This window comes from Homo sapiens, chromosome 14 (genome assembly GCF_000001405.40).
Source record: "Homo sapiens chromosome 14, GRCh38.p14 Primary Assembly".
In the NCBI taxonomy this organism is placed as follows: domain Eukaryota; kingdom Metazoa; phylum Chordata; class Mammalia; order Primates; family Hominidae; genus Homo; species Homo sapiens.
Window position 1 is genome coordinate 27,141,203 of NC_000014.9, and position 26,878 is coordinate 27,168,080.

The 26,878-nt window shown below is 35.3% G+C and overlaps 1 long non-coding RNA gene across 2 annotated transcripts in view; it reads left to right on the forward strand.

The window, feature by feature from the left end:
• LOC105370420 (uncharacterized) overlaps positions 1-26,878 on the forward strand; it is a 129,914-nt gene that overhangs the window by 63,967 nt on the left and 39,069 nt on the right. The window lies entirely within an intron of this gene.

Genomic DNA, 26,878 nt, shown 5'->3' on the forward strand with positions numbered 1-26,878 from the left:
CTGTTTTTCTACCTACCATTTCTTGTTGAAATAGGCCTTACTCTATAGTCAAGAAAATGTTGCATCTGTAGGCTTGGAAAAGCCTTTGCAGGCTATTTCAATACAATAAAGAACATATGAAATCTTAATCATGTCCAACAATATAGTATATGAAAACTTGCAATTACACTTGTATTACTGGAAGCTGTTGGTAATTTCAGGAAGCATAATCTCTCATGAATTTTATTATGTGATATAATTCCAGTATAATAGCTAAAGCCTATACTTTTTGTTTCTATTTATCAATCTATATCTTAATCTATTTATAGTCTTCTTCATAATTCATTTTGACAAATAATGAATTTTTTTGTTTTAATAATTGTTCTTATTGTTCATATGCTTAAAACTAAAACTTACAAGCTACTTCCAGAGCTGTAACTAGGATTTTTATATTGTAATTAGTGAACGTTAAACAACTCATTGTTTTCTATATCTGTGTATTTGTTTACTTGTTTTGAGAGTTGGTTAGGGAAAATTACAATTTATTGTGTATATTCTTTCAATGAACAATAAGAGGTAATATTCCATTAATTCTGTTGAAAATACTGTTATTTTTTGTAGCTTTTATATTTGATAAAAATAACTTTATAATCTACACATTAATATTTATATTTATATAAGAATTTATGTTTCAGTAACCGGTAACTTGAGGTTCTTTTTTATTAAAACAGTTGTTTTTAGGCAAAATCTTAAGAAATTCATTGTTATGTGGGCTCTCAATTAGTCTCAGAATAAATTGTTATAATTTTTATAAGCCAGATTTCCCTAATCTTTTCCCAATGCAGTGTCCTTCTTCCGTAGCACTGTAACCACTCATTTGTAAGGGATGTAATTATTGTGGAGGTGCTGATGCTGATGGTGTTTCTTTGAGCAGAGTGGGGAAAGATTAACAGGAGACACTCAGCTACAACATTTGCCCTTTTATTGTGAGAGGTTCCTATGTATCACATTAACTAAAATATATGACAAACATGTAGCTTGCTAAACAATGTGATACATTAACATTTCTGTTATCTAAACTTTATATAAAAGTTAAGGATAATATCCTTTGCCACCATTTTTGTTCACCTGAGCTCTAGCTGACTTTAAATCCTAGACTTGTAGATATGTAATTAGGACTGAAAGAAACAAAGGATTGGTCATTCATATTTGTTCAGTGCTAAAGAGCCTATTCTGAAACTCAACAAAAGCAGTCTGTTTGAGTTTTCTTTCTACACTTGTATACATTAATTTTTATGTGGACATGACATATAAGAAATATCATTATTCCTTATGATAATAAAAATGACAATGAGGACAATTTCTTAGCGCTTGATAAGTGCTAAAATTTGGAAGATACCTTAGAGTTCATCTATTTCAACCTCTTAAACACTGAAAAGTGTTTTTTTCTAATATATCAGATAGCTTTTTCATAAAAGGTACACTTTCATAAACATACGTTCATAAATAGAAAGCTCATTACCTGTGGAGGAAAATATATTTTTAAAATATATTGTTAACTCACCCAGGTCCTTATAATTTCCCATTACTTTAAAACATTCTTTTCAGGAAAATTTTGTAGTTATTATACAAACATAAAAGTGATTTAACTGAAACAAACTTAAACTACCAGGGTTAATATTTGCCTGTCTCTTTCTACATTTTATATTTTACTGTAGGCCCAAAATATAGTCAACAATGATTCTCAGTAATTCTGCAATGATACTGCTTTTATTTCCTTACCTCAGTTATTTAAGTAGTCTTAGTATAAGTCTATAAACTAACATAAAATAAAGGTAGTCTTTTATGATGCTCTTCTCTATGTTGGAATTGTTCATTTTTCATGCTGATTTTGCTCTTTTCAGTGTAATGTTCATTGGAAGAAGATACAGATAATTTTATCGTCTCTGTTCTTATACTGGCAATAAGCTAAGGTATGCCATTTGGTTGTCTTAGCTTGTCAAATACTTGCTGACTTGTTCTGTTAACATAAGAAGTCATTCCAGCTTCTGCCTTTGTGCCTTGGATTATATGATATGGACTTTAGAAGTTTTAGATTCTCCCTAAAATGTGCCTGTATCTGGTACCAGTTGTGTAGAGCTAGCTATTTCTATTTCTCTTTTCTATGACATGAGCTTTTATTTGTCAATAATTTAACCAAGATTTCTACTGTGAACTTCAACCTAAAATAAACTAGTTCACAGTCTGACAAAGTTGGTTAGAGCCACTTAAAATATAGTTCATTGACTTTATGCACAGAAGTTTTTATTGCCAAAGCAGAAATTACATAAGTAGAAAGCAAAATTATGAGACCCCATTACCTGTTACTATTCTAGATGTACCCAGTAATAACATTGTCTTTGACCTATGAGAAATTATTGGTTTTCATTTCAAACCTAAATGCCCTTCATTTTCCCCTCTTTAACAGCTACAGTAATCACAATAGATACCAAATGGTTAAGCCTCAGCCCCACTCATTCCTTTTTGTGGGTGGTGATGTCTCCTTATCTTTATTCTTTATCTATAAGTGACCTTAAGTCTAGCTAATATTCGCTAGTTTCATTTATGAAAATAACCATGGGCTGGGCACCATGGCTCACATCTGTAATCTGAGCACTTTGGGAGGCCGAGGCTGGTGGATCACTTGAGGTCAAGAATTTGAGACCAGCCTGGCCAATATGGTGAAAATCCATCTCTACTAAAAATACAGAAATTGTCTGGGCGTGGTGGTGGGTGCCTGTAATCCCAGCTACTCGGGAGGCTGAGGCACAAGAATCACTTGAACCCAGGAGGTGGAGGTTGCAGTGAGCCATTTATTCATTTAAAAAATTTCTTAACCATGTCTTTTAAAAAAGGACTTTGTTTTTTGTCAAAACTATAAAAACTGCACCTTTCTTTGCTTTTTTTCTTTATCCTGGGAATATTTTTCAGCCTTTTGTGCAGAATTTCTTCTATCTCATTAGGATCTCTGCATACTTTATAATGAATCAGAAGATAGAACGTTGTCTTTTAAACATGTTTACCTCCCATATCAGAGCGACCAGCTTGTATTTATGGCAGACATCATTGATACCCGCCTCAGGCAGGAAAGACTTATGCAGTAGATATCTTGAAGGTCAATGGAATAATAATCTCACTGTTTCCCTATGGGTGACATCACACTACAGTCCTCTGTGGCTTCCCCTGGAGGTCCCAGGAAACATTTTCCCCTAAATCTTGTCATAGCAACAACTTAATCACTTCACCTGCTTATTGGAGGCTTTTTGGCATGCTGCTTTTACTCTACCCTGATCATTTTTCTTTCCCTTTCTACTAACTCTGCTAACCCTTTATGTTTTAGAAGTTTGCAGCCATTTGCCAATGCAGACTAATTATTAATCAGGGTTCTTCAATAGATACCAAAAACAAAGAGCATACAGTCATGTGCTGCATAATTAGCTTTGGTTAATAATGGACTATATATGTGATAGTGCTCTATAAGATTATAACCACTGTATTTTTCTGTACTTTTTCAATGTTTAGATATGTCTAGAAACACAAATACTTGCCATTGTGTTACAATTGTCTACAATATTCAGTACAGTAACATACTGCACAAGTTTGTACCCTAGGAGCAATAGGGTATACCAAATAGTCTAAATGTGTAGTAGGCTATGCCATTTAGGTTTATGTAAGTATGCTCTATGATGTTCACACAATGATGAAATCATTTAATAACACATTTCCCAGAACATACCCCTGTCATTAATAGCACATGACTGTATAGACTAAATTATAATTCTCTTTCTTTGTACAAAAATTTCTGGATTAAGGTCTTGTGTATGTTACTCTAGTCATGCCATTTACTATTTTTTTTAGTCATGCCATGTCAACTTTTATTTTAGATTCAGGGGTAAATGTGCAGGCTTGCTACCTGGGTATACTGCGTAATGCTGAGGTTTGGAGTATAATTGATCCTGTCACCCAGGTACTAAGCATAGTACCTAATACTTAATTTTTCAACCCTTTCCCACCCCGCTCTCCCACTTTCTACCTCTAGTAGTCTCCTGTTTCTATTGTTGCCATCTTTATATCCATGAATACCCAGTGTTTATCTTCAACCTATAATTGAGAACATATGGTACTTGGTTTTCTATTTGTATGTTAATTCACTTAGGATAATGACCTCCAGCTGCATCCATGTTGCTGCAAATGATATGATTTCATTCCTTTTTTATGGCTACATAGAATTTCATGGTGTATATGTACTACATTTTCTTCATTCAATTTACTGTTGATGGACACCTAGGCTGATTCCATGACTTTGCTAATGTGAGTAGTGCTGTCATGAGCATACAAGTGCATGTGTCTTTTTGGCAGAATGATATACTTTCTTTCGGATATACCCAGTAATGGGATTGCTAGGTCAAATGTTGTAATAGGTCTCTTTCACATTATTTGATAAATCTCCAAATGGCTTTCCACAGTGGCTGAACTAATTTACATTCACATCAACTGTGTATAAGCATTCCCTTCTCTCTACAACCTAGCCAGCCTCTATTGTTTTTTGACTTTTTAATAATAACTATTATGACTAGTTTGAGGTTACCTAGCTTTTCTTCTAACATTTATATATTTTTAGCTCTTACATTTAAATCTTTAATCCATCTTGAATTAATTTTTGTATGTGCTGAAATGTAGGGGTCCAATTTTATTCTTCTGTATATAGCTAGCCAGCTATTTCAACATCATTTATTGAATAGAGAGTCCTTTCCCTGTTGCTTACTTTTGTCGACTTTTTTTAAGATCACATGATCATAGGTATATGGCTTTATTTCTGGGTTCTCTATTCTGTTCCATTGGTCTTTGTGACTGTTTTTGATCTCAGTTTGAATGTTATTGCTTTATAGAAATGCTACTAATTTTTGTACATTGATTTTGTCTCCTGTAACTTTACTGAAGTCATTCATCAGTTCCAGGAGCCTTTTAGCAGAGTCTTTAGGGTTTTCAAGTATAGAATCATATCGTCCACAGACAGAGATAGTTTGACTTCTTGTTTTCCTTTCTGGATGCTTTTTATTTCTCTCTCTTGCCTGATTTCTCTAGCTTGCATTCATAGTATTTTGTTGAATAAGGGTGGTTATGGTGGCATCCTTATCTTGTTTTAGTTCTCAAGGAACATGGTTCTAGTTTCTGTCCAGCCAGTATGATATTGGCTGTGGTTTTGTCATAGGTGGTGTGTTTAGAGTTTTTATCATAAAGGGATGTTGGGTTTTACTCAAAGATTTTTCTGCATCTATTGAGATGATCATATGGTTTTTGTTTTTAATTGCATTTATGTTGTGAATCACATTTATTGATTTTAGTATGCGAACCAACCTTGCATCCAAGGAATAAAAACTGCTTAATAATGCTGAGTTAACTTTTGGATGTGCTGCTGGATTTGACTTGCTAGTATTTGTTGAGGATAATTGCATCTATGTTAAAAAGAAATATTGGCCTGTAGTTTTCTTTTTTTCATTGTGTATCTGCCAGGTTTTAATATCAAGGTGATGCTGGCTTCATAGAATGATTAAGGGAAGAGTCCCTCCTGCTCAATTTTTTTGAATAGTTTCAGTAGAACTAGTAGAAGCTCTTTTTGTGTGTCTGGTAGAATTTGGCTATGAATGCATCTGGTCCAGGGCTTTTTTGGTTGGTAGGACTTTTAATACTGGTTGAATTTCGGAACTCAGTATTGGTCTGTTCAGGGTTTCAGTTTCCTTCTGTTTCAGTCATGAGAGGTTTTATGTTTCCAGGAATTTATTCATTTCCTCTAGATTTTCTAGTTTGTGTGCATAGAGGGGTTCATAATATTCTTCAAGGATCTTTTGTATTTCTGTGGGATTGGTTGTACTGTCACCTTTAACATTTCTGATTGTGCTTATTTGGATCTTCTCTCTTTTTTATCTTTGTAAATCTAAATAGTTGTTTGGGGATCTCGTTTATCTTTTAAAATGACCAATTTTTTGCTTCTTTGACTCTCTGTATAGATTTTTGGGTCTCAGTGTTGTTCAGTTCTTCTTTGATACTAGTTATTTCTTTTCTTCTGCTAGTTTTGGAGTTAATTTGTTCTTTAATTTTTAGTCCCTGTAGGTGTAATGATGGATCATTAAGGTGAGATCTTTCTAACTTTTTGAAGTAAGCATTTAGTGCTATAATCTATACTCTTAACACTGCTTTTAGTGCATCCTGGAGATTTTGGTATAGTGTGTCTCTGTTTTCATTTATTACAAATTTTTTTTATTTCTGCCTTAATTTTGTTGTTTTCCCAAAAGTCATTCAGGAGTAAGTTGTTTAATTTTCATACAATTATGTGGTTTTGAAAGATCTTCTTTATGTTCATTTCTATTTTTATTCCACTGTGATCTGAGAGTATGGTTGGGAAGATTTCATTTTTTTTGAATTTATTAAGGCTTCATTTATGGCCAAGCATGTGGTCAACCTTGGAGTATGTTCTATGTGTGAGTGAGAAGAAAGTGGATCCTGTGGTTGATGGGGTGAGTGTTCTGTAGATGGCTAATAAGTCAAATTGTTCAAGTGTCATATTTAGGTCCAGAATTTCTTCATGAGTTTTCCGACTGGATGATCTGTTTAATGCTGTCAGTGGGGTGTTGAAGTCTATTATTGTGTGTCTGTCTAAGTCTTTTCATAGGTCTGGAAGTACTTGTTTTATAAATCTGGGTTCACCAGTGTTTGGTGCATATATATTTAGGATAGTTCAGTCTTCTTGTTGAATTGAAACCTTTGTCATTATATAATGGCCTTTTTTTGTCCTTTTTACTATTGTTGATTTAAAGCCTGTTTTATCTGATATAAGAATACCAACCCCTGCTCTTTTTTTTTCCATTTTCATGGTAGAGCTTTCTCCAGCCCTCTACTTTGAGCCTATAGGTGTTATTACGTGTGAGATGAGTGTCTTGAAGACAGCAGATGGATGAGTCTTATTTTTTTTATCCAACTTGCCACTCTGTGTCTTTTAAGTGGGGCATTTAGACAATTTACATTCAAGATTAATATTGATATGTGAGGTTATGATACTAACATGAAGTTGACAGCTGGTTCTTTCCAGTTTCTGTTTGTGATTGCTTTATGGTGTCTTTGGACTATGTACTTAAGTATGTTTTTGTGGTATAAGGTATCATTGTTTCATTTTCATGTTTAGAACTCCCTTAAAGATCTCTTGTAAGACTGGTCTAGTGGTAATGAATTTCCTTAGTACTTGCTTGCTTGGAAAATATTTCATTTATTTTTTGTTTATGAAGCTTAGTTTGGTGTGCTATGAAATTGTTGGTTGGAATTTCTTTTTTTTTTCATTATTCAGTTTTTGTGGGTACCTAGTAGGTGTGTATTTATGGGGCTTATGAGATGTTTTGATACAGGAATGCAATGCATAATCACATCATGGAAAATAGGTTATCTATCCCCTGAAGCATTTATCCTTTGTGTTACAAATAATCCAACTATACTATTTATTTTAAAATGTAAAATTAGATTATTATTGACTATAGTCATCCTGTTGTGCTATTAAATAGTAGGTCTTATTTATTATTTCTAACTATTTTTTGTACCCATTAGCCAGCTCCACCTTCCCTTGATCTGCCACTACCCTTCCCAGCCTCTAGTAATCATCCTTTTACTCTCTTATCTCCATGGGTTTAATTGTTTTGATTTTTAGATCCTACAAATAAGTGAGAACATGCAATGGATGTCTTTCTATGCCTGGCTTATTTCACTTAACATAATGATCTCCAGTTCCATCCACGTTGTTGCAAATAAGTAAATGTCACTCTTTTTACGGTTGAATAGTTCTCGTTTGTGTTCATGTATCATATTTTCTTTATTCGATCATCTGGTGATGGACATTTAGGTTGTTTCCAAATCTTGGCTATTGTGAACAGTGTTTCAACAAACATGAGAGTGCAGATATCTCTTCAATACACAAATTCTCTTTATTTGGGGTTTATATCCAGCAGTGGAATGCTGGATCATATGGTAGCTGCACTTTTAGTTTTTGGAGAAACCTCCAAACTGTTCTCCATAGTGGTTGTACTAATTGACATTCCCACCAAAAGTGTACGAGGGTTCTCCTTTCTCCACATCCTCACCAGCATTCGTTCTTGCCCGTCTTTGGGCTATAAGCCATTTTAACTGGGATGAGATGATATCTCATTGTAGTTTTGATTTGCATTTCTCTGATAATCAGTGATGTTGAGGGCCTTTTCATATGCTTGTTTGCCATTTGTACGGCTTCTTTTGAGAAATACCTATTCAAATATTTTGCCTATTTTTGATTGGATTATTAGGTTTTTTTCCTATAGAGTTGTTTGAGATCCTTATGTGTCCTAATAATTAATCCTTTGACAGATAGATAGGTTTGAAATATTTTCTGCCATTCTGTGGGTTGTCTCTCCACTTTGTTCATTGTTTCCTTTGCTGTGCAGAAAGTTTTTAACTTAATGTGATTCCATTTGCACATTTTTGCTTTGGCTTTCTTGTTTGTGGGGTATTATTTAAAAATATTTTGCTCAGAGCAATATCTTGGAGAGTTTCTTCAATGTCTTCTTATAGTAAGTACCTTCATAGTTTGAGGTCTTAGTTTTAAGCCTTTAATCCATTTTGATTTGATTTTGATTTGATTTTTGTATATGGCAAGAGATAGGAGTCTAGTTTCATTCTTCTGCATACAGATATCCAGTTTTCCCAGCACCATTTATTGAAGAGTATGTTCTTGGCAACTTTGTTGAAAATGAGTTCACTGTAGGTGTGTGGATTTGTTTCTGGGTTTTCCATTCTGTTCCACTGGGCTTTGTGTTGTGTTTTTATGCCAGTACCATACCGTTTGGGTTACTATAGCTGTGTAATTAATTTGAAGTCAGGTAGTGTGATTCCTCTGATTTTGATATTTTTCCTTAGGATAGCTTTGGCCATTTTGGGTCTTTTGTGGTTCCATATACATTTTAGGATTTTTTTCTATTTTTGTGAAAAATGTCTTTGGAATTTTTATAGGGGTTGCATTGAAACTGTGGGTTGCTTTGGGTAGTATGGACATTTTGACAATATTGATTCATCCAATCCATTAACATGAAATATTTTTCCAATTTTTGGTGTTGTCTTTAATTTCTTTCATCAGTATTTTATGGTTGGAATTTATTGTATCTAAGAATTCTGAAAACAGGCTGTCAATCTCCTCTGGCTTGTAAGGTTTCCACTAAGAAGTCTGCTGTTCCCTTTGTGCATCATCTGACCTTTCTCTCTAGCTACCTAGAATATTTTTTCTTTAGCACTGACCTTGGATAATCTGGTGACTAAATGCTTTGATGATGTTGTGTAATATCTGGCAGAAACTGTCTGCATACTTCAGTCATTTTTTTAAATTCTTCTTGCTTTATTTTTGTCTAACTGAGTTAGCTTGAAAGACTGGACTTCAAGCTCGAAAATTCTTTCTTCTGCCTGGTCTAGTCTATTGACAAAGCATTCAATTGTACTTTTAAATTCTTTAAATGAGTTTTTCAATTCCAGAAGCTCTGAATTCTTTTTAACATGTTTATCTCTTCCTTCGCTTTCTGATGCTTTAGAAGTTTCTCTGCATTGACTCCTTTCAACCTTGTCTTGGACCTTGTTGAGCTTCCTTTCAATTCATGCTTTGAATTCTTTACCTATCATTTCTGCATTTCCATTGTGGTTAGGGACCATTGCTGGAGAAGGAAGGTGATCCTTTGGTGATATCACTACATTCAGATTTTTCATGGTGCCAAAATTCTTGCTCTGTTTCCTTGTCATCTGGAAACACCAGCACTTTTAATTTTTGTAAGTATTTTTGTGCAGGTAGGTAGGAATTTTCCCCTTCCTTTTCCTATATTTTTACTTTGGTATTTTTTTTGGTAAATTTGGTAAATTCGGTAATTTTATTTTGGTACTTTTACTTTCTCTTTCCCTTATACTCCCTTGCTAGGGGTTGAGATCATAAAGAATGGTAGGGCCATTTGGCTTTGCTTCTATAGCTCTATGCACTCTGTCAGCAGGTTGTATTTTGGGCTGTGCAGTTTGACCTACAAACCAGTAAATGGTGCTTATGGGTAAGAGCCAGCTGAGGCCAATGTGACTGGGTATATACTAGATCCTTGATTACCGGAAGAAGCTCTCCGTTGCCTCAGGCAATGAGCTGATTCCTGGAGTGCACAGTGGCCTGAGATCCCTCCTCCCCGCTTAGGGTGGGGGCCAAGATGGGTGGGGCCAGACTGCAAAGGACCATCTACAGATCCTTCAATGGCAAGCACAAGCACCATTACCAAGGGAGAATCCAGTGGCAGCCACCAAGTGCCCACAGGTATGCCTAGGCATAGAGCTGGGAAACCTCATTGGTTCCAAGTTATCTGCGTGGAAATGAGAGTAGCTAACCTCGTAATCCAGGAGAGTATGTGCTCCAGATGCCTGAAGATCTGCCTGGATGTTGAGTGGAGAGGGCCCCCCTGCACCCAGGTCTCTGCATAGTAAGCATGTGGGGAGCTCAAGCTGCTTTCCAGGTGAGTGGATGCTCTAAATGCCTGGATATCTAGGTAGGTGGGGAGCAAAGAGGGGGCCCCCTGCATCAAGATCCCTACACGGGAAGGATGAGGCAACTCAGACTGCTGAACCAGGCAAGTAGGTACCCTGAATGCTTGGAGAGCTGCCTGGGTGCAGAGTGGAGAGAGCCTTGCTGTATCACAGTCTATGCCCAGATGGGTGGGTTGGCTCAGGCTGTTGATCCAGTTAGAGAAGGAATGCTATGAACACCTGAATTTCTGCCTGGAGATTGGAGAGATAGGACCCCAGTGCACCACAATCTCAGGGGAGCAGGCTTGGACACCCGGAAATGGCACACAGAGACAAGTTTCAGGTCACTAAGCTGGTTGCTAGTCTTGGTGCACAGGAGAAACTGCAGCTGTAGCACTTCTCCTCTCATCCCAGGCCTGTGACAGGGGAGAACACAAATCCAGCACCTATTGTTGAGGTGCTTTCCACAATCGTGCACTCCAATCTCTAGCCCAAGACTGAAGTGCCTGCACAGCCACACGACTGGGTGGCCAAAGAATGGCTGAGTTGCATGTACCTGGATTAAAAATACTGACCTGCTCTTGGTCCTGGGTCTGGAAAAACATCTGCAGGTTTTCCTAGTGTCTTTCTTTTACAGCATCTCAAGTCCCTCCCCAGATTAGCTCCACAGTTTGGGTGAAACAAAGTACTCTATCTTGGCTAGAGTTGCTCGGCTCCTCAGTGGAAAGATGAATCACAGAAGGTGGCTCTCCGCCTCCCTCACATATGGGGGCTTCACCCATTTTTATCAGTTAAATGCCATCATGAGGGATGTTTGCCCACATTCTCCTCCCTGGTATCTGGAGTTTCCTTCGTGATTCTGATAGATTAAGATTACCTTCTCCTTTTTGAAGTGAAGCTCACAGACTTGATCTTTATGTAGGGTCTTGCTATTTCTAAGTGGCTGAGGCACGTTAAAAGCCTCTAATCTTCCATCTTGGGAAAAAAAGCCAAACATTTACTGTTTCGAATTTTCAAATTTCTTTTCTGATAAAAAGTGTTAGTGAGACTATACAATTTCTAGGTATGTAGCATAAAGGAAGTGCAAATTTTTGGATCTGTAAATATGTCTATCTGTATATAAAGCTTGATGCAATTTATAAATTTTTCAGTCATAAGAAATTTAATTGGCTTTTTTTTCGATTTTAGGGATAGTAATACTTATGTCATAAGTAATTTAAAAATTAAGCTGGGTAATATTTTTAAAGTGTGTAGGACTGGCTCTGAGCATAAATTTAGAAAATATTAAATAGTATAATTCTCTTAATATCCCTTACGGCTCTGTATATTCCCAGATATTCACTCATTTGCTCATGTATTTGATACGCAACGATCTGCCAACTGCTGTGCCAAGTGTCATCATACAAATGCTTCCCATATGAGGTCTATGTATATTTAAATAAGGTAATTGAATATATTGTGGTAAGTGCTATAACAGAGGCATATAATGATCCATATGGAAGGGTATACATTTTCTACTTAACAACACTGATTGACCATATTATTGGCTTCTAAATAAATATTGCTTGTTAATTCTGATTTCAGGGTAAACATCTTATGCTGAATCTCCACAGCTAAGTAATACTCTTTGCTTCTAACAATTTAGGATACCTTCAGACTTTCTCTTCTATGCAATATATTTTGCTCAGTAATTATGAGCTAATATATCGAGTTTACTGATATGAAGTATATATATTTTAGTTTATATTGTGCAAATAATCATATTTGCCTGAGTGATCTTGATGTAATCATCTATTCTTCAGTTAATGCCATAAATTTGATTAATGCAATTGTTGCTTCAGCATTAATTTTTAGGCCTGACATAAGTTGTTTGCTATCCAGGTAGACCTCACCACCTTTAGCCTAGTTAAAGCTTCCTCTCCTTGTGTGGTTGTGATATAGCCCATCTATTCTTCACCCCATAGACCTAAATCCCAATACATCCCACAGCTTCCAACCATGATAAAACCTAAGGGTCAATACCAGAATCATGTAAATACATTCCCCCTTTTCTGATGTTTTCTTTAAACTAGCCAATCCACAACCCCCAGGGGAAAACCTAAGAGGTAACACCCATGGGCCTTAATGAAGACACAGTTCCACAGGCTCCCTGTCTCCCTGCTCAGCCTGCCCAGAGATACCTCTGGCCTCCTGTTGGCACCATTAACAGCACTGGGATCTGTAAGTGATACATTTCTTCTATTTTATACACATTCATTTCACCTCCTTATGTGTCTCACCTAATTCACACACTTGAATCTAACACTCCCCTGGGTGGAGCTCTCCTAGAAAGTGGCTATCTTGGTTTATGGCCACTCTTCTCTTGACAGAGAGACACTAGCACCAAATTAGAAAGAAACAACAAAACCAAAAATCACAACAGTTAGTGATTAGTTTTCTTTAGATATTGTTTAGAGCTCATCTGAAATGAATAACCTTACCCGAATTACAATCCATGATTTTTTTTTTGCTTTTGTTTTCTCCCTATTTTGTAGTGTAATTCATATTTTTAGTAGTAATCTGGAATTTTAAAAAATGTTCTACCTATGATTTTAGGACATGCCTCTATTTTAACATTTACTTTGAAATTTTTGTCACCTCTAACTGAATGTACCCAAAGCTAACCCTTTATATAATTATCTTAACAAAAATTTCAATTTTTTCTGTGCCATCGCTGTTAAAATAATGTATCATTAGAGTATTCTGCTTTACTTTATAAAAATATATGCACTTCATATTTTGTAGCAGTTTTTACTCACGAGAATATTACAGAGATTTATATATCCTTTTCTCCCACTGATCCACATTTTGCCACTATAAATATCCCACATTGAAAGCACACATTAAAAAAATCTGAGCTACGTAGACTCGCCATATTCACAAATGTCCATAGTTTACTTTAGGCTTCACTCTTGGTGTACATTCTGTGAGTTTTCACAATTGTATAATGACATGTTCTTCCATTATAGTATTATACAGAGTAGTTTATCTGCCCTAAACATCCTGTGTGTTTTATCTATTCATGCCTCCCACCTTACCTCTGGCAACCGCTAATCTTTTTGCTAGTTCCATAGTTTTGCCTTTTCCAGAGTATCATGTTGGAATCATACAGTTATGCAGACTTTTCAGTTTGGCTTCTTGGCTTCTTTCACTAGTAATATGCATTTAAGTTTCCTTCTTGTCTGTTCTTGGCTTGATAGGTTTTTTAAGTGTTGAATATTATTTCACTGCCTAAACATACCATGATCTATCTATTCATTTACCTACTGAGGAACATCTTAGTTGCTCCCAAGTTTTGGCAATTATGATTAAAGCTTCTATAAACATTGGTGTGCAGATTTTTGTGGGAACATACATTTTCAGCTTATTTGGTTAAATATCAAGGAGTGTGTTTACTGGATTGTATGACAAGAGTATATTTAGTTTTATAAGAAGTTGCCAAACTGTCTTCCAAAGTGGCTGCGCCATCATGCATTCCCACCCACAATGTGTGAGTTTCTATTGGTCCACACCCTGGCCAGTGTTGTGTTGTCAGTGGTTTGGAATTTTGATATTCTAATAGACGTGTGGTGGTATCTCATTGCTGATTTAATTTGCAATTCCCTAATGACATATGATTTAAACAACATTTTATGTGTTCGTCTTTCACCTATATATCATCTTTTGTGAGGTGTCTGTTCAGATATTTTGCCATTTTGTAATTGGGCTTTTCATTTTCTTATTATTGAGTTTGAAGGATTCTTTATGCAGTTTTGATGGCAGTCCTTTCTCAAATATATCTTTTGAAAATATTTTCCCCCAGTCGGTGGCTTGTCTTCTCATTCTCTTTTCAGTGCCTTTCTCAGAGCAGAAGTTTTAAATTTTAGCAAAGTTCAACTTATTAGTAATTTCTTTGATGCATCCTTCCTGTGATGTTGTATCTAAAAAGTAATTCCCAAACACAAGGCCATCTACATTTTCTCCTATGATATTTTCTAAATGTTTTCTGTAGTTTACATTAGGTGCCTAATATTTTTAGTTAACTTTTGTGACGGGTGTAAGGTCTGTGTGTGCACTCTCTTTTACAATATTATTTTTGCCCTTGATGTCAGTTTTCCTGCATCATTTGTTGAAAAGACTCTTTTCCTCATTGGTTTGCCTTTACTCCGTTGTCAAAGATCAGTGTTTTACTTTAATCTCTTTCTTTTTATTTATTCTCTATATCCCAAATACTACTATGTACTTTATATATATTTTATAATTTTAACTTAACAAACTTGCTACTGTAGTAGCAGTAACTATCCAAATAGCCAACAGTCTTGCTCTTTGTATTTATTTTATTCCAAATTCATTTAGTTTCATTAGGTTCAAAACAGCAGCTAAGTAGTGAAAGAGGTGAATGGAAAAACCAGCCATGCCTAAAAGGAGAGGAGTCTTATTTTTAAATGAAGAGTCACATATTGGTTACTGTCTTGTAATAACTCTTAGTATTTCTGAATTTAAACTGGATGCTATAATCTAGAATGAATGTAGTGCGTTAGAGAGTGAGGAGTGAACTGAAAACTATGGAGGTTGCTGAGTTTTCATACAGTGGCATGGGAAACCTCTTCCACTAGATGCATTTTAAAGTGGCAGTGAGAAACCAAACAAATTTGCATTTGATATCATCCAAAAGAAAATCATTTTTCAGTGTTACAAAAGAAAACTAAATGTGGTAATTTTGTCACAATTAACTTAAAGCCAGATAAGGTATCAGGAACAGATAATGTGACTGAGGTGGAATGCATGTCCAAGATTGTTAAAAATAAGACATGTAAGTAGTGAAATGTGATGTGGAAAAGGAGTGGTCTGGGAGTCAGTAAACCTAGGATCTAGAACCAATTATCTGTCACTTAGAGTCATCTCTCATTTATGTTATGTTTCCTCAACCATTAAATAGAGAATAAATAAGTAGTAATTTTTTTAGTCTTCTTCAATTCTAAAGTTCAAAGCTGCTAGTACAAGAAAAGTCAAACACAGTTCTGAGTTAATGTGGTTCAACTAGGTGTCTTAAGTGAATAAATTAAACACATGTTTACTTATAATTAAATACATTCTAATAAAATTATGTATAAGAAATGTAAATCTGAAGTGGAAGATAGAAGCAGACTTTTCCCACTGTTTAATTTTTTTTAAGTCAGTAGTAAACACACATGCAAGAGATTGCAATGATTTGAATGTTTTCTTCGTATACAAATTCATTATTTTATATTCTGCCTTTATTTTTTGAACTGTAACTCAATAGCTTAAAATTATAGGATTTTAAAGTGAATAGAGGCTTTTCAAGTTCCATATCATCCCAACCTCAATTTATGAAAGAGTAAACCAAGGTCCAGAAAAAAAAAATGATTTGTACAGGATCACATAGTTAATTTACGGCAAGGCTAGAAGAACATGCTGGATTTCCTGAACTTTGGCCCAGTGACTTTTCCACAATAAGTTTTAAGTTCTCAGTAATTAGTATATTTTTAGTAAACCATTGATAAAATATTTTGTTTTATTTTGTAGAAATAAGTTTTGACACCTATTAATTCATTTTATCCTATTAACATTTTTGCAAAGTTATTAATATTATTATCTTTATTACACACACACTAGAACAGATTAAGTAATATGCCCGAAATCATGTAATTAAAAAAGAATGAAGTGTGAATTTAGCTTCACTTTTGCCTGACTCCAGATTCTAACTTATTTCAAGACATTATGTTAACTTCTTGAAGTTTCCATTGAGCTATCCATTCAAGTTAACATTCCATTTCAGAATGATAACATTCTGAAGGACACCTTAACTTACATCTTTGGTATTGCCTTTATCAAGATGTGGTATAAAGACCATCAAAATTTATGATTCTTTTTTGTACTGCTTCATCATGAGGCTTATGCTAGGCTATATACCACACTAAATGTTTGAGATGCATATAAATGATTGACTAAGCTTTGTATGCTTGATTACTTCAGAAGTTATTCACTCATTTTTTCACATTCTGAACAGATTTTTATTGTATTTGTGTGTGTGCACACGTATCAGAATTGTACTGATTTCCTTTTTACCCTATCAATCAACAATGTCTTAAATGCCAATCCAAAGCCCAATGTATAACTTTTACTGGAATCTTACCATCAACTTTCAGAATCAAAAGTTGTCACTAGAGGTTTCTCAATGCCTGTCTACTGCATTTCTAAATTAACAACAAATGCAGATTTGTCTGTGATGGCTCTTTTACTGCTGCATGCAGCTGGAGAAAAACCAACTGCCAAGGGAACTCAATTTTCTTTATCATCAACTTGACATTTGTTAACAGATGGCTTCTGGATACCATGGTAGTCTTCTTAATTTGTCTCTTTATATAGGCTGCAAACACCCTTGGTTAATTGCCTGATTATTACGTTTAATTCTTTGTCAACAATATACATCCTTGTTTTGGAACATATCCTAGGAGATAAGTTATGAAAGGCAGGGTTTTGAGGGTAGAACTGCTACCAGCCTCTTGAAACATAAAGTGGCACACCTGAGGGTAAGCAAATATGCTAAAATATCCCCTGACTTAAAATCCAGTAGGCTTTCTCTGAAGTACATCATGTATCCAGAATACAGTGGATTAGCCTGAGCTAATGTTATACAAAAGAATAGTAGAAAAAATGTCAGCAAATAGGTGAATAAATAAATAAATAAATAAATAAATGGTTAAAACACTCTAAGGCAAAACATCTTTCCAATTGAACATAAACCTAAAGCTAACAGCAACTGAAGTCTATTTTTTTCTCTTTTTTAATATCTAAGTAAGTAGGATTTAAATATGGCACTTGGGAGAGTGAAAATTTCTCCAGTGTTTCCAAGGGGATGCAAAAATACGCTTAAAATTGATTGACTCTGTCAGCATTCTTTTAAGTGCAAATATACACCTTTCTTTTCTTTGCTTTGGAAATCCAAAGAAATGAACAAACTTAAAATCTGTATAGATCGAGAGCTCTGATTCAATTAGAAAACAAAATACATAGTATTATATATAGTACTGTGCACATATACATACTTTTATATACACAAGATGTAGAATTCAGTGTACAATAAGTGAGTGCATTTATCAATATAAAATCACCTCATGTTGTCAGTCCTAAGAGTAGCATATTGACCACACAAACATATCAATTAAAACCACTATTAATTTTGATTTTTAATCTTAGTTCTTTATTTTCGTTGCTATGGCTGTCTTGAAAAATAATGTGAAATTATAGTCCTATTCTTTCAATAAAATAAATTACTCACGACTGTCCTACATTAAGATTTTTAAATAGATTCAAAAGATGGACTCAGTGGAATCAGAAAACCCTCAGAATAGTACTTTTGCTGTTATTATAGAAGAAGATCTGAGCTAATGTTGCTAGTAATGAATATTCTATTGAAGTTTATGCTGCCACCTATGGGGAATGAAAATTCTTAGTAATTAATCTAAAATGTAGAAATTACTGTTGCCAATTATGAATGAAAATTGAAACATCTAAGTGAATTTTATTACTATTTGACTGTCAAAGGAAAACCTATTTGGAGAAAGCTGTAAGTTCTTGTATTGTTCCTTTTAAAACCCAAATGTGATAGGTGCCCATGGAAATTTATCTACATAATCAAAAAGGGTCATTTCTAAGGGATAACTTAAGTGTCTAAATTGAGTATTTGCAATCAAGTAATTAAAAGTAATATAAACTGAATTAACTGTATTTATTGTGAAAACTTATGTGAGTTGATTTAATATCTCTGTCCATTTTTTCATATTCTTTTCATTTTTGCCTCTTTTAACATGTACTGTCTTGTTCAAACTGGGGAGTAAATGAAACTAGTTTACAAACTAGTTACTGGGTTACAAACCCCCAGTCTATTAATGTAGTAATGTAGTAAAATGAAAGAGAAAAACCTTTGGATTAAGGAAGGTCATTGGTTGAAATTCACACTCTGTAATTTGCTATTTATACCACACAAGAAAGTATAATTGAGTCCGAGTTTTCATCAAAAAGTAGAACTTGTACTACCCATTTTATAGAAATGCTGTAAGAAACATGAGTTTCTTCTAGTGCTGACCAAAATGCCTGACACAAAATGATTATAAAAAAAATTGTATTATTTTCTTCCAAAATACAGTATCTGCTATATCATGAACATCCAGAAAACTGAGTCATAACTCACCTGGTAAGATATAGGGTAAACCAGAGTGTAAGACATCTGGGTGAGTAGGATGAGAAGTAGGAACGATCTTGTTGAACTGTGTCAGTGAGTGCAGCAAACAGACTCAAAGATGGCCCACCCATGGTTCCCATGCACATCTTTGTGTGATCCCCTCCCTTTGAGTGTAAAATGGGAGCTATGACTTTCTTCTAATCAATAGAATAGGATAAAGGTGATGAAACGTGATGTTTGTCGTTATGTTATATAATACACCCTTTCTGGCTTTGGAGAAGTACACAGCCATTTTGGGAGAACCAGAAGGCAAGGAACCAAGGGACACTTACAGGAGCTGAAGGCAACTTCCAACCAACCTCCAGCAAGAAGTCAGGCTTTCAGTCATACAATCACAAGGAAATGAATTGTTCCATCAACCTGAGTGCGTCTAGAAGGTGACTCTTCCCTAGTTGACCCACCAGATGAGAATCCATCTTTGGTCAATACAGTAATTTCATCTTTACAGCAGACCTAGTTAAGATGTACCTGGTTTCCTGACCCACAGACACTGTAAGATGATAAATGTATTCATTTTAACCTTCTAAACTTATGCTACAGATTACCAATAGAAAAGCGAATCTACTGGGTTTTCTTGAATAAGTTAGATTTTTGTTCCTTTATTATTCTGTACACCTTTAAAATTGTAAAAATCTAATTTATGAGTCTGAATTTTTGAAAAAAATAAAATTACAAAACTTTACACAATGTAAATGAAATATTCCTCCTACTCTACAAACCTATATTATGCTCCCTCAGAGCCAATTGCTATGTTCCATATCATGTTTTCACCCCGGGTGAAATGATTTTCCAAACTCATAAGTATACACGAAGATTTAAAAGTGATTTAATTTTATGTCTTTTCTAATATTTATAATATACAAAAGTGAAATAGTGATTAATTGGCCCTTAAGTCTGAAGAGATTTCAGAGCTAATTTAACAAACTGTATTATATTTTGTAACATTAAATCTTACATTTTATGGTCTATCTGTGGAAACTGAAGGAAAAGGAAAGCATGAGCTCAGCCAATGGAAGACTATTTTTAGTAAATCTAGGTAATTTTGCAATATTGCTACTACCTGGCCATGTAGCTTCACACAAACCACTTTCTCTGTTTAGACTCTTAGTTTACACATTGCAGATTTCAAGTTATGTGTTTTTAGGCACCTGTGTGTTATCCTTTGTGTGTGTTTTGCCTTTCACAATGTTGACTAGTAACTTATAAACCTGACTGATCATAAAATCATACTCCAAGTTTGTTATTATTATTATGATTTGTATTATTAATGCAGATAACTGGTCATCATGCCTAGGTATTCTTCTTCAGTGAATTTGGGATATGGTTATGGAATTTATATGTCAAGATATTTTCACAGGTACTTCTCACTACCTTGATTGGAAAACAATTTAGATATATGTATGTATCTAAATTATAAATATAAACATAAAATATCTAAATTATAAAATATATCTTTCAGTGTTATTTTATCAACATACATTAACATACGTATAACACTGTTTGAAGGAGAGTGATCTGAAATTCACCATAAGCAACATGACAAGGACAGTAACCACTGCAGCTATGAGCTATATTAAGAGGCAATTACGAAGGAACACAGTGTAGGAAGTCTTTATTTAATTCTGACCCCCATTTTCCATTTGCCTTGTATTTTATTTGTTCTTGGTCTTGGTATCCTTAACAAAGCACATCTTTTCTTTGTATCATATTCATAAGTCTTGCTGGTTCACTTGAAATGCCTGGTACTGGGAAGATATGAGAGTTCTTTGGAATTGTTTAGAGTATACAGTCTTCCTTCCTTGTCTTTGGCTTCTTTTTCCCTTGGTGGATCAAACCTGGGAGCTGACAGCTTCATCTGGTACCCTAATGCAATCAAGTTCTTTAGCAGTATTTTTTGCTCAAAAGCTGTTTTTTGACTCATACATTGTTAATGTATGTTAATTTTATTTCACAAATACATTCTTCAGGCAAAGTAAGAGTGCCTCCACTTTGTCATTAATATGCATTTTTTTGACTGTACATGACCAAGGAATGAAGGAGGGAATGGGCTATTCCATAGTTACAGAAACCGAAGCAATGATAGGAGCATCTCACTTGGAATGTAAGAGGCTGTACCTGCCTTTCTCTCATCTTCCTGAACCTAATTCCTTTAGTTAGATAGGTGGCTAGATAGCTAGCTAGATAAATATAATGCAAAAACTACAAAATTCTCTTTTAAGTGTAAAACTTTTTGATTTTTTAGTATACTCACAGAGCTGTGTAATTATCACCACTCTAATTTTAGAACATTTTTACAACTCCAAAATGAAACTCCATATCCATTTGTACTGTCTCCAACTCTCTCCCCCAGCCTCTGGCAACCACTAATATATACACTGTCTCTATAGGTTTACTTATTCGGTAAATTCCATATAAATGAAATCACACAGTATGTGGTCGTTCATTAATGCCTTATTTCACTTAAGATGTTTTCAAGGTTTATCCATATCGTAGCATATACTAGCACTTTACTGCTTTTTACGGAAAAATAATACTGCACATCATGGGTATATCACATTTTATTCATCCATTCATTAGTTAATAGGCTTTGGGTTGTTGCCATGTGTTTACCATTATAAATAATGTCATGATGACTAGTCATCTGCAAGGTTTTGTATGGACATACGTCTTTATTTTTCTTGAATACATACCCAGGAATGGAATTGCTTGTATAAATGGTAACTCCATGTCCGACATTTAGGAGAAATGCCAAACTGTTTTCCAAAGTAGCTGTACTATTTTACATTCACAGAAGCAATGTACCAGAATTGTAATTTTTTCACACCCTGTCAAGACTTATTGACTTTTAATATTAACCCTTTTAGTGAGTGAAATTGGTATCACATTGTGGTTTGTATTTGAAATTATCTAATGACTAATGATATTTAAAATCTTTGCACATGGCCATTGATCATTTGTCTCTCTTTTTTGGAACTTATGGTGATATTTTTCTTTTTTGGAAAAACATCTATTGGAAATATTTGTCCTTTTTAAGTTGTATTTATTTTTATTGTTAATTTATAAGAGTTCTTTATATAATCTGGATATGATTCTCTTGTCTTTTCTCATTTTCAGTGGTTCCTTTGAATAAAACAATTTTAATTTTGATGGAATTCAATTTATTTGCCTTTTCTTGCATTACTTGTGCTTTTGATATCATATCTAAAAATTCTTTGGCTAATCTCAAATCATAAAAACTTACAGTTAGGGTTTCTTCTCAGAGGTTTATAGTTTTAGCTCTTTCATTGAGGCCTGTGATCCATTTGGACTTAATATTTCTTATGATATGAGGTAGAGGGTACAGGCTGATTCTTTGGCATGTTTATGTGCAGGTCTCCCAGGACAATTTATTGAAGAGATTATGCTCTCATGATTGAATTGTCTCAGAATCCATGTCGAAAGTCAATTGCTCATAAATTGATATTTATGTTAGCCTTTCTATATTTACCACGTGTATGTTCCTTTCTATATGTACCAAATTTTCTTGATTACTAGCTTTGTAGTAAGTCTTATAATTGAAAAGTGTGTGTCTTCAAACTGATAGATGCAGGCAAGGGTGAGTACCTGGTGAAACCCCACCTTCAAGCCAAAAAGTTTGAAACCCTTGGCCCAACGTGAGAACTTCTATCCCTGTTTGCCTGCTCTCTACCAATTAGTTCTTTCTGAATAATGTCTTTTTATGAATCAAATGTTGCCTTTTCTAAAACTACCTATGGCCTGCCCTGCCCCCCCCATCCTGTGGCTATGAAAGACTGCAGACTCTGTTGCTAGAAGAGAGAAGCAGCTTGAGTGGAGAGAGGTGACTTGACTTCACAGGTATGGCTTGACTTTAGAGGAGAGAGGGCTTAACTTCGGAGAAGAGCTGCCTGGAGAGAGCCGAACTGCAGGAAAGATTACCTGCCCATCCCATCTCCTCTCCAGCTCCTCTCTTCCCTGAAAGCCATTCCCACCACTAAATAAATCATCCTCCTCCACCATCTTTCAAGTGTCCACACAACCTCATTCCTTTTGGATGCTGGACAAGAGCTCAGGACCTACCAAGTGCAGGTACTCAAAAAAGTCTGCTGTCACATTAGCCCTTTATCCTTGCTGGTAGAGGGCAGCTGCCCCATGTGATGAGGCAAGGGGCCCACTAAGCTGATAACACACTACGGTCCATGGACAGTGGAGATAAGAGAGCATTGTAACACAACTTCTGAGGCTGCAGGGGTCATAGGCACCCCCACCTGGGTGCCGCCACAGGGCCCACATGGAGCCTGCTCCTGCAGGCACCCAAAGCAGCCAGCCAGATCCCGCACTCGCTCGCTGAAGCGCTCCCTCCTGCAAGAGGTTGAGTGCTGCAGGTTGAGTAAACCGAGGACCCCATTGAAAGACGGATGAAAAGATTGAGAAAAAATCCTGCATCAAAACTTTGTTCTTCTTTATCAAGGTGGTTTTGGCTATACTGGGAACACTTGAATCACCATAAAAATTTTAGGTTAAGTTTTTCAATTTCAATTAAAAATGCAACTGAGATTTTGAAAAGGATAGCTTTGAATGTATAGATTAAGTTGGGAAGAATTGGCCTTATTTATCAATATTGAATTGTTCAATCCATGAAGATGGATTGTAGTTTTTATTTAGATATTCTTGACTTCTTTCTTCAGCATCTTATAGATTTTTTTTGCCTAGAGATACTGTGCATATTTTGTTAGATGTGAAAGCAATAGAGTTTTGTATGTGGACTTTGTATCCTGGGACCTGCCAATACTCAATAATTAGTTCCAAGTTATTTGCACATTTATTTGGAATTTTCTGCAAAGAAAATCATATCAACTGCAAATAAAGACTTTTATTTTTTGCTTTTCAATATGCATATTGTTCATTTCTTTTTATTGTCTATTACCCTAGTTAGGATTTCCAGTACAATATTGAATAGGAATGGTGAAAGAAGAGACCATTATATTGTTGTCAGCTTAGGTGGACACTGTTCAGTTTTATATTAAGTATGATATTAACTGTAGGTTTGCTGTTGATGTTATAATTAACTTAATATGCTGCTAAATTTGGTTTGCTAGTATTTTATTGACAATTTTTGAATCTATGCTCACAGGAGAATTGGTGTGTAGCTTTCTTTTCTGTGATGTCTTTGTCTGGTTTTGTTATTAGGATAACATTAGCCTAAGAGAATGACTTGAGACGTGTTCCTAGTGCTTCTACTATTTGAAAAAAACTATGAGAAAAGTTGATAATAATTCTGCTTTAAATGTTTAGTAGGAGTCACCAATGAAGACATCTTGGACTAGGGTTTCTCTCTGGAAAGTTTTTAAATTACAGATTTAACTTCTCGTAGTTTTATTCAGATTTTGTTTTTCTTCTTGAGAGTGTTTCCGTTGTTCATTCCTTCCTAGGAAACTTTCTATTTGACTTTGTTGGCATATAATTGAACATGGTATTCTTATAATTATTTCCTATTTCTATAAAGTCAGTAATAGTGGCTTCTCCTTAATTCCTGATTTCAGTAATTTGATTATTTTCTATTTTTTTCTTGGCAAATCTAATAAAAAATTAGTAAACCAACCTTTGATTCTGCAGATTCCTTTTTTCTATTAATTATTTAATTCACATCTATCATAATCTTTATTATTATCTTCTTTGTCCTTGCTTTGGGTTCACTTTACTCTTTTTTTTCTCATTTCTTAATGTGGAAAGTTAAATTAATTTGATATCTTTCTTTTAATTTAGATGCATGCATAAATATAAATTTTTCTCTAAGCACTATTTTTACTGAATTTCTTAAGTTCTGGGATGTTGTTTATTCATCTTCATACATCTCCAACTATTTTGTAATCTCCCTTTTGTTTAACCTATTGGGAATTTGAGTGCATTGTTTAATCTCCAAATATTGTTTAAATTATCAAATTTGTTTCTTATTCCAATTTGTTGTGGGAATAGAACGCACTTTTTATGATTTCTCCTATGTTAATTTGTATGATTTCAATTATTTTAAATTTATTAAGATTTGTTTTATGGCCTGATATATGTTTTTTCTTAAAGAATGTTCTTGGTGTACTTCAGAAGAATGTGTTGTTCTCTGTTGTTAGGTGGAGGGTTTTAAAGATGTTTGTTGGGTATTCTTGGTTTATAGTGCTGTTGAGTCTTCTATTTCCTTGTCAATCTTCTGCCTAATAGTCCTATTCATTATTTCAAATGATGTATTGTAGCTTCCAACTATTATTGTAGAATTGTTTATTAACTTCTTCACTTATGTTAGTTTTTGATTTCTGTATTTTGGGGGATCCATTGCTAAGTCTATATATGCTACTTCTTAGTCCATTTATGCTTCCATAGCAAAATATCTAAAACTGAGTAATTTATAGAGAACATGGATTTATTTCTTACAATTGTGGAGGCTATGAAGTCCAGGATCAAGGTGCCAACATTGCTGCCTGATGAGAGCTGCTCTCTGCTTCCAAAATGGTACATTGTTGCTACGTCCTCACATGGCTGAGGAAGAAAGGCAAAAGAGCATCCCTGAACATTGAGCTATTTTATAAAGGTAACCTCATCCATGATGTTGGAGTCCCTATGATTTATTCACCTCCAAAAGGCCACATCTCTTAATACTGTTACATTGAGGTCTAAGTTTCAACATAAATTTTGAAGGGGACACGATTATTTAAACCATAGCAGCTTATAATTGTTATGTCTTCCCAATGAATTATTCATTTTTTATTATAAAATGTTATTCTAGTAAAAGTTTTGTCTCAAAGTCTATTGAACCTTGTATTAGTCCATTTGCACATTGATGATGAAGACATACTCAAGACTAGGCAATTTACAAAAGGAAGAGGTTTATTGGACTGACAGTTCCACATGGCTGGGGAGGCCTCACAATCATGGTGGAAGGTGAATGACAAGGAGCAGCAAGTCACGTATTACATGGATGGTGACAGTCAAAGAAAGAGCTTGTGCAGGGAAACTCCCCACCCCCCCTTTTTTTTTTTTTTTTGAGACGGAGTCACGCTCTGTCGCCCAGGCTGGAGTGCAATGGCACAGTGGCGCATGATCTCAGCTCACTGCAAGCTCTGCCTCCCGGATTCACGCCCTTCTCCTGCCTCAGCCTCCCAAGTAGCTAGGACTACAGGCACCCACCACCACGCCCGGCTAATTTTTGTATTTTTAGTAGGGACGGGGTTTCACTGTGTTAGCCAGGATGGTCTTCATCTCCTGACTTCATGATTCACATGCCTTGGCCTCCCAAAGTGCTGGGATTACAGGCGTGAGCCACTGTGCCCGGCCAGGAAACTCCGATTTTTAAAAGCATCAAATCTCTTGAGATTCATTCACTATCATGAGAACAACACAGAAAAAACCCACTCCTCCATAATTCAATAACCTCCCACCTGGTTTCTCCCACAACATATGGGAATTGTGGGAGTTAAAATTAAAGATGAGATTTGGGTGGGGACAGAGCCAACCCATATCATTCCTCCCCTGACCCCTCCCAAATCTCATGCCCTCACATTTCAAAACCAATCATGCCTTCCCAGCAGTCCCCCGAAGACTTAACTCATTTCAGCGTTAACTCAAAAGTCCACAGTCCAACCTCTCATCTGAGACAAGGCAAGTCCTTTCTACCTATGAGCCTGTAAAATCAAAAGGAAGTTATTTACTTCCTACTTACAATGGGGATACACTCATTTCAAATGGGAGAAATTGGCCAAAACACAGGGACTACATGCCCCAGGTAAGTCTGAAATCCAGCAGAGCAGTCAAATATTAAAGCCCCAAGATGATCTCCTTTGACTCCATATCTTGCATCTGGGTCATGCTGATGCAAGAGGTGGATTCCCATGGTCTTGGGCAGCACCACCCCTGTGGCTTTGCAGGGTACAGCCTCTCTCCCAGCTGCCTTTACAGGCTGGTGTTCAGTGTCGGCAGTTTTTCCAGGCAAACAGTGCAAGCTGTCAGTGGATCTACCAATCTGGGGTCTGGAGGATGATG